The following is a 13,726-nucleotide window of genomic DNA, read 5'->3' on the forward strand; positions in this document are numbered from 1 at the left end:
GTGCTCATTTGGTTCTTGTTTTTATCTTTGTTAACCTAACTGGTGGTCTATCAATTTTGCTTATTCTTTTGAAGAACAAACTTTTTGTTTCATTGATCTTTTGCATGAATTTTTGCACTCAGTTATGTTCAATTCTTCTCTAATTTTAGATATTACTTTTCTTTTGCTAGCTTTGGAGTTGGTTGGTTCTTTTTATTCTAGTTCCTCTAGGTGCAGTGTGAGACTGTTAATTTGAGATCTTCTTAACTTTTTGATACTGCTGAAAGAAATCAAAGATGACATAAGTAAATGGAAAAATAATCTATATTCATAGATTGGAAGAATCAATATCCTTAAAATGGCCATACTGCCCAAAGTAATTTACAAATTCAATGCCATTCTTATCAAGCTAGAAATGTCATTTTTTACAGAAGTCAGAAAAACTATTCTAAAATTCACTGGGAACCAAAACAGAGCCAAAAAGCCAAAGCAATCTTAAGAAAAAGAACAAAGCTTGAATTATCACATTACCTGACTTTTAAATATAGTACAGATCTATTGTAAGCAAAACAGCATGGTATTGGTACAAAAACAGACACATAGACTAATAGAACAGAATAGAGAACCCAGAAATAAAACCATACACCTACAACCATCAGATCTTCAACAAACTTGACAAACACACTATGGAGAAAGGAATCCCTATTCAATAAATGGTGCTGGGATAACTGGCTATCCATATACAGAAGAATGAAACTGGACCTCTCTTGATATGGTTTGGCTGTGTCCCCACCCAAATCTCATTTTGAATTGTAGTTCCAATAATCCTCAAATGTCATGGGAGGGACCAGGTGGAGATAATTGAATCATGGGGGCAGTTTCCCCTATCCTGTTCTTGTGTTCATAAGTTCTCACGAAATCTGATGGTTTTATGAGGGGCTTCCCCCTTCGCTCAGCTCTCATTCTTCTTCTTCCTGCTGCCATGTGAAGAACATGTTGGCTTCCCCTTCCACCATAATTGTAAGCTCATCCATGCTGAACTGTGAGTCAATTAAACCACTTTCCTTTATAAATTACCCAGTCTCAGGTACGGCTTCATTAGCAGCATGGGAACAGACTAATACAGTATATTGGTACCAGTAGAGTGGGGAATTGCTGTAAGAATACCTGAAAATGTGGAAGCAACTTTGGAACTGGGTAACAGGCAGACGTTGGAACAGTTTGGAGGGCTCAGAAGAAGACAAGAAGATATGGGAAAGTTTGGAACCTCCTAGAGACTGTTGAATGGCTTTGACCAAAATGCTAATAGTGATATGGACCGTGAAGTCCAGGCTGAGGTGGTCTCAGACAGAGATGGGCAACTTTTTGGGAAATGGAGTAAAGGTCTCTCTTGCTATGCAAAGAGACTGGTGGCATTTTGCCCCTACCCTAGAGATCTGTGGAATGTTGAACTTGAAAGAGATGATTTAGGGTATGTGGTGGAAAAAATTTCTACATGGCAAAGCATTCAAGAAGAAGCGCAGCATAAAAGTTTGGAAAATTTACAGCCTGATAATGCAATAGAAAAGAAAAACCCATTTTCTGAGGAGAAGTTCAAGCTAGCTGCAGAAATTAACATAAATAATGAGAAGCCAAATGTTAATCACCAAGACAATGGAGAAAATGTCTCCAGGGCATGTCAGAGACCTTCATGGCAGCCCCTGCCATCACAAGTCCAGAGGCCTAGGAAGGAAAAACGGTTTTATGGGCCATATCCAGGGACCACCTGCTCTATGCAGCCTCAGGACATGCTGCCCTGTGTCCCAGCTGCTTCAGCTTCAGCCTTGGCTAAAAGGAGCCAAAGTACAGTTCAGGCCATTCCTTCAGAGTATGCAGACCCTAAGCCTTGGTGGCTTATACATGGTTTTGGGTCTGCAGGTGCACAGAAGTCAAAAATTCAGGTTTGGGAACCTCTGCCTAGGTTTTAGAGGATGTATAGAAATGCCTGGATGTCCAGGCAGAAGTTTGCTACAGGAGCAGGGCCCTCAGGAAGAACCTCTGCTAGGACAGTGTGAAAGGGAAATATGGGGTTGGAGCTCCCACACAGAGTCCCCCTGGGGCACTACCTAGTGGAGCTGTGAGAAGAGGGCTACCATCCTCCAGATGCCAGACCGGTAGCTCCACAAACAGCTTGCACTGGGCACCTGGAAAAGCCACAGACACTCAACTCCAGCCTGTGAAAGCAATCATGAGGGGGCTGTACCCTGCGAAGCCACAGGAGTGGAGCTTCCCAATGTCATGGGAGCCCACCTCTTGCATCAGCATGTCCTGGATTTGAGACATAGAGTCAAAGGAGATCATTTTGGAACTTTAATGTTTAATGACGACTCTATTTGATTTTGGACTTGCATGGGGCCTGTATCCCCTTTGTTTTTGCCAATTTCTCCCATTTGGAACAGGTGTATTTACTCAATACTTGTATCTCCATTGTATCTAGGAAGTAACAGGCTTGTTTTGATTTTACAGGCTCATAGATGGAAGGGACTTGCCTTGTTTCAGATGAGACTTTGGACTTGGACTTTTGAGTTAATGCTGAAAAGCGTTAAGACCTTGGGGACTGTTGGAAGGTCACGATTGTGTTTTGAATTGTGAAGACATGAGATGTGGGAGTGGTCATGGGTGGAATTATATGGTTTGGCTTGACTGTGTCCCCACCCAAATCTCATCTTGAATTGTAGTTCCCATAATCCCCACATGGCATGGGAGGGACAAGGTGGAGATAATTGAATCGTGGGGGCAGTTTCCTGCAACAAGTTTCATGATAGTAAGTAAGTTCTCATGAGATGTGATTGTTTTATAAGGTACTTCCCCCTTTACTTGGCTTTCATTCTTCTCTCTGCTGCCATGTGAAGAAAGACATGTTGGCTTCCCCTTCCACCATGATTATAAGTGTTCTGAGGCTTCCTCAGCCATGCTGAACTGTGAGTCAATTAAACCTCTTTTCTTTATAAACTACCCAGTCTCAGGTATGACTTTACTAGAAGAATGAGAATGGACTAATACACCTCTCTATCACCATATACAAAAATTAACTCAAGATGGATTAAAGACTTAAATGTAAGACATCAAACTATAAAAATTCTAGAAGTAATCTGAGGAAGTATCCTTCTTAATATTAGCCTTGGAAAAATAATTTATTGCTAAGTCTTACAGAGTAATTGCAATAAAACAAAAATTGACAAGTGGTAACTAATTAATTTCTGCACAGCAAGAGAAGTATCAAGGAAATAAATGAACAACCTATAGAATGGCAGAAAATATTCACAAACTATGCATCTGACAAAGGTCTAATATTTAGTATCTGTAAGGAACTTGAACATATCAAGAAGCAAAAAGCAAAGAATCTCATTAAAAAGTGAGTAAGAGACATGAACGAACACTTCTCAAAAGAAGACATATGGCTGGGTGCAGTGGCTCACATCTGTAATCCCAGCACTTTGGGAGGCCAAGGCAGGTGGATCACCAGAGGTCGGGAGTTTGAGATCAGCCTGACCAACATGGAGTAACCCCGTCTCTACTAAAAATACAAAAAAAAAAAAAAAAAAAAAAAAAAATTAGCCAGGGATGGTGGCGCATGCCTGTAGTCCTAGCTAGTTGAGAGGCTGAGGCAGGAGAATCGCTTGAACCCAGGAGATGGAGGTTGCAGTGAGCCGAGATTGCGCCACTGCACTCCAGCCTGGGCAACAAGAGCAAAACTCCATCTAAAAAACAACAACAACAAAAAAAGAAGACATACAACCTGCCCATAAACACACACACAAAAATGCTCATTATCGCTAATCATCAGAGAAATGCAAATCAAAATCACAATAAGATACCATCTCATACCAGTCAGAATGGCTTTCATTAAGAAGTCAAAACATAATACATGCTGGCAAGTCTGCAAAGAAAAGGGGACAATTATACACTGTGGGTGGCAACGTAGATTAGTTCAGCCACAATGGAGAGCAGTTTGGAGATTTCTCATAGAACCAAGAGTTGAATTACCATTTGACCCAGCAATCCCATTGCTAGGTATATATCCAAAGGAAAATAAATCATTCTACCAAAAGGACACATGTATGTTCACTGCAGCACTATTCAGAAAAGCAAAACCATGGAATTAACCTAGGTTCCCATCAATTATGAATTGGATAAAAAAAATGTGGTACATATACACCAGGGAATACTATGTAGCCATAAAAATAATAAAATTATACCTTTTGCAGCAACATGGAAGCAGGTGGAGGCCAATTATTTTAAGTGAATTAACATAGGAAAAGGAAAAAAATACATATTCTCACTTATAAGTGGGTGCTAAACATTGGGTACATGGACAAAAAGATGGGATCAATAGACACTGCGGACTTATATTGGGGGAGAGAGAGGAGAGGGGAGCTGAAAAACTACCTATTGGGTACTACGCTCACTATCTGGGTTATGGGTTTGGTCATGTCCCAAACCTCAGCATCATGCAACATACTCATGTAACAAACATGCACATGTATGCCCTGATTCTAAAATAAAATTTGAAAAAGAAAATGAAATTTCCAGTGAGTGTGTAAGGGGGAATACTAAAAATGAAAAGTCAAACCAATGGAGTAGAACAAATATTAAAATCCATAATTCATAAAACTTTAATTTAAAAAATGCATATTTAATAGAAACATTATTTATAAAAGGTGGGTGGGAGAAGAAATCAATCTTACTTATTGAAAAGGAATATATTACATATGAGGACAAAAACTCAGAATGATCAATAGTCAAACTAACAGATTTGCAGTGGGAGGGCCAGGATCCTTTTGCATCCAGTCTTTAGAAGGATTAAAGATTAGACAGATATTACACCTTTCAACAGCAACATTCTATATCTGAGGAAAATTTAACAACGTATTTCCCTAAGAGAAAAATTCCTCAAGAAACCAAGGTATTACAGAAGAATTGACATGAGGTGTAGTGGTGAGCATTAAGCACATGTGTGTAAAACTGATAATAAGGGTAAAGGTTATTTTTAAAAATCTATAAATGTCATATGTTCTTATTATTTAGATATAATGCAATTAACAATGTAGAATAAGCTCACTGATTACCTTAAATATTGTAGTTGGGAGTAAAGGATGTCACTTTGAATTAAACACCATGGGAGAATGAGAGAATGGAAAAGAAAAGGTGATCAACTAAACTCATTATAGCTTATAGAAGAGAACCATAAGATGATATCTAATTTGTTTAATTAAAGAGATTAATTTTGAAAGTAAATATTTTAACAAAAATAGAAGCCCTGCTAAATAACAGATGACATATCATAAAGAGCAAAAGACCACATTATAAAAGTAAACACACACATATATATGAATTAATAAATGTACCTATAAAATATATATACATATATACAGCACAAAAATATGACATTAAACATTAGAAGTAATATCAATAAATGTAAATAGACTTAATCCATCCGGTAAAACATGGAGATTATCAGATTGGCTAAAAAGCAAAATCCAAATTTATGATGTATACAAAAGTTATTTCTAAAAGAGGCACAGAAAGGTTAAAAATAAATAGATTGGTCAAAGTATGCTAGAAAAATAACTTTTAATGCATCTCTCTCAATCCAAGACAAACCAGAGAAACAAGATTACACTATCCCAAAATGGTCTGATCAGTAAGGTAAATGTTCTAACATGTATCAAATTCTGAGCCTCAACAAATAAAATGCACCATATTTATAAGTGTCCATATATTAGGTAATACACACACAGAGACAAAATCTGAATAATACTATATATAATATAAAAGGTATACTTTGACCAAAATAAGATAAATTAAAATTAACTTTTAAAATAAAAAGCAAAAAATAATAATAATCAAAGGCCCTTTTGCCTGGAGATTAAGAACTCTTAAACTGTCCAACACTTGGATCACTGGAGAAACACATAACAAAAATTCACAATTTATAAAAAATAAAGTAACAAAAATATGATATCAGAATTTAAGAAACAAGTTTAAAGCAGTGTCCATAGACACACATACAGCATTAAATAATTTTTCAGTAAAATGAAAATGAAATAACTATATTTTCTACTCAAACTGAAAGAACACAGAAGGAAAGAATGTTTGACATGAAAACAGAAATTAATAAGCTGAAAAACAAGAATGCAATTCATCCAAAAGCTGCTTAATTTAAAAAAATTAACCAAAGCAACAAATGCTAGATATCTTAAGAAAACAAAAATGGGGAGCACAAACATATGAAATACTAAATAACATGTGAAATACTAAATGACAATGGAATAGGTACTAAAAGAAAAGACTACTTTTTACACTTCTATGAAAACAAACTTGAATATCTAGATGAAATATACAACTCTCTTATTTTATTTTATTTTATTTTATTATTATTATACTTTAAGTTTTAGGGTACATGTGCACAACATGCAGGTTTGTTACACATGTATACATGTGCCATGTTGGTGTGCTGCACCCATTAACTCGTCATTTAGCATTAGGTATATCTCCTAATGCTATTCCTCCCCCCTACCCCAACCCCACAACAGTCCCCGGAGTGTGATGTTCCCCTTCCTGGGTCCATGTGTTCTCATTGTTCAATTCCCACCTATGAGTGAGAACATGCAGTGTTTGGTTTTTTGTCCTTGCGATAGTTTGCTGAGAATGATGGTTTCCAGTTTCATCCATGTCCCTACAAAGGACATGAACTCATCACTTTTTATGGCTGCATAGTATTCCATGGTGTATATGTGCCACGTTTTCTTAATCCAGTCTATCGTTGTTGGACATTTGGGTTGGTTCCAAGTCTTTGCTACTGTGAATAGTGTCGCTATAAACACATGTGTGCATGTGTCTTTATAGCAGCATGATTTATAATCCTTTGGGTATATACCCAGTAATGGGATGGCTGGGTCAAATGGTATTTCTAGTTCTAGATCCCTGAGGAATCGCCACACTCACTTCCACAATGGTTGAACTAGTTTACAGTTTCACCAACAGTGTAAAAGTGTTCCTATTTCTCCACATCCTCTCCAGTACCTGTTGTTTCCTGACTTTTTAATGATCGCCATTCTAACTGGTGTGAGATGCTATCTCATTGTGGTTTTGATTTGCATTTCTCTGATGGCCAGTGATGATGAGCATTTTCTCATGTGTTTTTTTGGCTGCATAAATGTCTTCTTTTGAGAAGTGTCTGTTCACATCCTTCACCCACTTGTTGATGGGGTTGTTTGTTTTTTTTCTTGTAAATTTGTTTGAGTTTGTTGTAGATTCTGGATATTAGCCCTTTGTCAGATGAGTAGGTTGCGAAAATTTTCTCCCATTTTGTAGGTTGCCTGTTCACTCTGATGGTAGTTTCTTTTGCTGTGCAGAAGCTCTTTAGTTTAATTAGATCCCATTTGTCAACTGTGGCTTTTGTTGCCATTGCTTTTGGTGTTTTAGACATGAAGTCCTTGCCCATGCCTATGTCCTGAATGGTATTGCCTAGGTTTTCTTCTAGGGTTTTTATGGTTTTAGGTCTAACATGTAAGTCTTTAATCCATCTTGAATTAATTTTTGTATAAGGTGTAAGGAAGGGATCCAGTTTCAGCTTTCTACATATGGCTAGCCAGTTTTCCCGGCACCATTTATTAAATAGGGAATCCTATCCCCATTTCTTGTTTTTGTCAGGTTTGTCAAAGATCAGATGGTTGTAGACATGCGGCATTATTTCTGAGGGTTCTGTTCTGTTCCATTGATCTATATCTCTGTTTTGGTACCAGTATCATGCTGTTTTGGTTACTGTAGCCTTGTAGTATAGTTTGAAGTCAGGTAGCGTGATGCCTCCAGCTTTGATCTTTTGGCTTAGGATTGACTTGGCGATGTGGGCTCTATTTTGGTTCCATATGAACTTTAAAGTCGTTTTTTCCAATTCTGTGAAGAAAGTCATTGGTAGCTTGATGGGGATGGCATTGAATCTGTAAATTACCTTGGGCAGTATGGCGATTTTCATGATATTGATTCTTCCTACCCATGAGCATGGAATGTTCTTCCATTTGTTTGTATCCTCTTTTATTTCATTGAGCAGTGGTTTGTAGTTCTCCTTGAAGAGGTCCTTCACATCCCTTGTAAGTTGGATTCCTAGGTATTTTATTCTCTTTGAAGCAATTGTGTGTGGTAGTTCACTCATGATTTGGCTCTCTGTTTGCCTGTTATTGGTGTATAAGAATGCTTGTGATTTTGTATCCTGAGACTTTGCTGAAGTTGCTTATCAGCTTAAGGAGATTTTGGGCTGAGACAATGGGGTTTTCTAGATATACAATCATGTCATCTGCAAACAGCGACAATTTGATCTCCACTTTTCCTAATTGAATACCCTTTACTTCCTTCTCCTGCCAGATTGCCCTGGCCAGAACTTCCAACACTATGTTGAATAGGAGTGGTGAGAGAGGGCATCCCTGTCTTGTGCCAGTTTTCAAAGGGAATGCTTCCAGTTTTTGCCCATTCAGTATGATATTGGCTGTGGGTTTGTCATAGATAGCTCTTATTATTTTGAGATACATCCCATCAATACCTAATTTATTGAGAGTTTTTAGCATGAAGGGTTGTTGAATTTTGTCAAAGGCCTTTTCTGCATCTATTGAGATAATCATGTGGTTTTTGTCTTTGGTTCTGTTTCTATGCTGGATTACATTTATTGATTTGCATATGTTGAACCAGCCTTGCATCCCAGGTATGAAGCTGACTTGGTCATAGTGGATACGCTTTTTGATGTGCTGCTGGATTCGGTTTGCCAGTATTTTATTGAGGATTTTTGCATCAGTGTTCATCAAGGATATTGGTCTAAAATTCTCTTTTTTGGCTGTGTCTCTGCCAGGCTTTGGTATCAGGATGACGCTTGCCTCATAAAATGAGTTCGGGAGGATTCCCTCTTTTTCTATTGATTGGAATAGTTTCAGAAGGAATGGTACCAGCTCCTCCTTGTACCTCTGGTAGAATTCAGCTGTGAATCCATCTGGTCCTGGACTTTTTTTGGTTGGTAAGCTATTGATTATTGCCACAATTTCAAAGCCTGTTATTGGTCTATTCAGAGATTCAACTTCTTCCTGGTTTAGTCTTGGGAGGGTTTATGTGTCAAGGAATTTATCTATTTCTTCTAGATTTTCTAGTTTATTTGCGTAGAGGTGTTTGTAGTATTCTCTGATGGTAGTTTATATTTCTGTGGGATCAGAGGTGATATCCCCTTTATCATTTTTTATTGCATCTATTTGATTCTTCTCTCTTCTCTTCTTTATTAGTCTTGCTAGTGGTCTATGAATTTTGTTGATGTTTTCAAAAAAACAGCTCCTGGATTAGTTAATTTTTTGAAGGGTTTTTTGTGTCTCTATTTCCTTCAGTTCTGCTCTGATTTTAGTTATTTCTTGCCTTCTGCTAGCTTTTGAATGTGTTTGCTCTTGCTTTTCTAGTTCTTTTAATTGTGATGTTAGGGTGTCAATTTTGGATCTTTCCTGCTTTCTCTTGTGGGCATTTAGTGCTATAAATTTCCCTCTACACAGTGCTTTGAATGTGTCCCAGAGATTCTGGTATGTTGTGTCTTTAAAAGTATTCTTCTAAAACATATCATCGTGATTTCAAAGTGCAGAAAATAAAGGCTTACTTCCAATTTCTTTTATGAAATAAACATAAGGTTAACAAACATTGCACAGAAAAACTACAGACTGTTTACTGTGAATATTGATGTATAATTTAAATAAAATATTAACAAATAGGAACCAATACTGCATTTTAAAAGTACATCCTTACTAAGCCAGTGAAGTTAAATTTATGGTGAATGTTGGGTTAAAGAATGGTAAATCCGAGGCTTTATGACAGTGCTTCTGCACAGCAAAAGAAACTATCACAGTGAGTTTAAATATTATGAAATTCTTTAATATAATTAATCACATCAACATATATAAAGAGAAAAATATGATCTCATTAGAGACAATCTTTTAGCAAAAGGCATTTGACACATCAATACTATTTCATTTTTTTAAATAAAACTGCTAAATTAAACAGCTTTTCTAGAAACTGAAATAAGATCTATATATATTTCAGCTTTAAAGCTAGAATCTTATTTTTTACAGCTTTATTGAGGTATAATTGATCTACACATAATTGCTTAGTGAATACAATTTTATTATTTTGAACATATGAATACACCTATGACACCATCATGACAATCGCAGTAATAAACTTATCCATCATCTCCTTATGTCTCTGTGTGTGTGTATATGTGTGTGTGTTTATGTGTTAAGAACACCTAATATAAGATCTAGCCTCTTAATGAATATTGTTAACTACAGTCACTGTGTTGTACAGCAGATCATTAGAACTTATTCATCTTATATAACTGTAACTTTATACTCATTGAACAAAACCTCCTAATTTCCCCCACCCCATCCCCTGGCAGCCACCATTCTATTTTTCTATTTTCTGCTTATATAAGTTTGATTATTTTAAATACCTCATATAAGTGAAATCATGCAGTATTTTTTCATCTGTACCTGACTTATTTCACTTAGTATGATGTCTTCTAGTTCCACCCATGTTTTCATAAATGACAACATTTCCCTTTTTTAATGCTGAATATGTTTCCATTATTTATATATACCATATTTTCTTTATTCATCTGTTGGTGAACACTTAGATTAATTCTATATCTTGGCTATTGTGAATAACACCACAATGACCATGGGAGTCCAGAAATATTTTTGAAATTCTTATTTCAATCCTTTTAGATATATACTCAGAAGTGGGATTGCTAAATCATATGATATTTGTTTTTAACTTTTTGAGAAAGATCCATACTGTTCTTCATAATCACTGTACTAGTTTACATTTTTACCAACAGTGTACCAAGGTTCTCTTTTCTCTCTATTTTCCCCAACATTTCTTACCTTTCATGTGTTTAATAATAGCCATTTTAACAGGTGTGAGGTCGCAGAACATTGTTTTAGTTTGCATTTCTCTGATGTTTAGTGATGCTGAGATTTTTTCCATATACCTGTTGGGCATTTCTATGTCTTCTTTGGAGAACTGTCTATTAAGGTCCTTTGCTCATTTTTAAATTGAGCCATTTGGTTTTTTGCTACTGCGTTGCAGGAGTCTCCATGCATTTTTGTTATTAACATCTTACCAGATATATGGTTTGCAAGTATTTTCTCCCATCCTGCAGGTTGCCTCGTCACTCTGTTGTTTCCTTTGTTGTGCAGAAGCTTGCTAGTTTGATGTAATCCTGCTTCCCTATTTTTGCTTTTGTTGCTTATGTTATTGGTGTCATATGCATGAAATCATTGCCTAGACCAATGTCATTTAAGCATTTTCCCTAGGAGTATTACAAGTTCTAGCCTTACCTTTAAGTACTTAATCCATTATGAGTTTATTTTTGTTTATAGTGTAAGCTAGGGGTCCAATTTTATTCTTTTGTAGGTGGATGTGCAGTTTTTCCAATACCATTTGTTAAACAGGCAATCCTTTCCCCGTTGTGTGTTTTTGGCACCCGAGTTGAAAATCAGTTGACCATATACGCTTGGGTTTATTTCTGGACTTTCTATTCTGTTCCATTGGTTTACATGAGGAGACTTCAAAAAGACTGTAGAAAACTAGAATTAAAAGATAAAAGTAAAAAAATAAACTTTATTTCCCAACATAAGCTCCATCAAATTAAAGACATTTTTTTGTAAGCAATGACCAGTAATTCAGTCCATCCCTAAAGAATTAAGGGTCCTTGGAATTTAACCGTGTCAATGCAGTCTTTTTCACATTATTAACGTGGAATAAATGGGTGTGCTTTAAGGATATTTTAAGATTCAGAAACAAAAAGTTAGAAGGATCCAACCAAGGACTATAAGGTGGGTGTGTAGTTATTTTCAACAAAATTCCAACAAAATTGCCGTTGTTTGATGAGAGGAATAAGCAGGAGCATTGCAATGGTGGAGAAGGACTCTCTGGTGAACCTTTCCCAGGCATTTTTCTGCTACAGCTTTGGCTAACTTTCTTAAAATATTCTCATAATAAACAGATGTTATTGTACTTTGGCCACCAGAAAGTCAACACGTAAAATGCTTTGAGCCTCCCAGTGAAGTATTCCATGAACTTTGCTCTCAACCATTCCACTTTTGCTTTGATTGGACCACTTCCACCTCTTGATAGCCATGGATTTGATTGTGCTTTGTCTTTATGATCATACTAGTAAAGATGTATTTCAGTTTCTGTTACAACCTTTGAAGAAATGCTTCAGGACCTTGATCCCATTTGTTTAAAATTTCCATAGAAAGCTTTGCTCTTCTCTACAGCTGATCTGGGTTCAACAGTTTTGGCATCCATTGAATGGAAAGTTTGCTCAACTTTATTTTTTTAGTCAGACTGTGTAATCTGACTAATTGAGATGTCTATTGTGTTGACTATTGTTTCTGCTATCATTATTAGTCCTCTCCAATTAGGGCACCGACAAGTACATTTTTTACTTGATAACTGATGTGGATGGTCTGCCACTGCAGGCTTCATCTTCAACATCATGTTGTCCTTTCTGAAAAGGAGGACTTTGTAAACTGTTGATTTCTTTGAGGCACTGACTTCATAAACTTTTCATAAAGCCTAGGATTTACCATTCTTCAACCCAACATTCACCATAAATTTGAATTTTAGCAAAATTTATGTTGCTCCAACAAGGGCTCTTATTTAAACATGTTATAACAAGTTAGTGGAAGTTTATTTTAGTGCAAAAAAAATTGAAATCCATGCATACCTTTTTCATAATACAAATTTTCCATGAATTTTTGAAGTCCCCTTGTAACTCAGTCTTTATGCCAGTAATGAGGAGACCCTAGAGTCAGTCACATAAAAGTCAGAAACGACAAAAATGTCTTCTGTTCTTACTATTATTTTGCTATTTGATTGTATTGAGATCTACTTGACAAAGTGGTTAGTCATAAACGAAAAAGCAATTAAAAGTGTAAGAAGTAAAAAGAGGGAAATACCACCTCCATTTGTCTATGGCATGATTAAATATCTAAAACAATTAAAAGCACCAATAAAAAATGGCTGCAAGATTAGAAAGATACAAAATTAATATACAGAAATTAATAGCCTTCATAGATGAAAAGAGGAATTAGAACATATCACAGAAAATCCCTTTTGTTTATTTCAAATGAAAATAAAATAGACAAGCAAAAATTTAATAAACTATATAAAAACTATATCAGGAAAAATATAAAATATTACAAAGGACAAAATAGTATACTTTATAAATGGAAAGACATACTATGCTCTTGAATAGAAAGACTTGATTTTTTTAAATGCCATTTGCTTTACCTGGGATACAATTATGAATGTAATGTAATGTGATCAAGGAAAAAAAAATGCCATCAATGTTTTTCTGTGATTAGACATATTGATTACAAAGCTTATATGAAGAAATGAACCAGCAGTTGTAGTCACAAAACCCTTAAAATAAAAAGAGCAATACATATGGGAGGTGAGAAGAAATGTTAGCCATAATAAATATGTAAACATATTGTAAAGCTGCTAAAAAATATAGTGTGGTATTTGCACATGAAGAAAGACACAGATCAATGGAACAAAGCAGAGGATCAACATACTATATATACATATAGCATGTATATATACACACACTATATATATACACACACACGTTCTATATATATATACACACACACTATATATAGAGATTTAATAAAAG

General features: G+C 35.8%; 1 long non-coding RNA gene across 9 annotated transcripts in view; it reads right to left on the minus strand.

Moving 5' to 3' along the window:
- LOC105377871 (uncharacterized) overlaps positions 1-13,726 on the minus strand; it is a 105,003-nt gene that overhangs the window by 54,262 nt on the left and 37,015 nt on the right. The window lies entirely within an intron of this gene.

This window comes from Homo sapiens, chromosome 6 (genome assembly GCF_000001405.40).
Source record: "Homo sapiens chromosome 6, GRCh38.p14 Primary Assembly".
Lineage (NCBI taxonomy): Eukaryota > Metazoa > Chordata > Mammalia > Primates > Hominidae > Homo > Homo sapiens.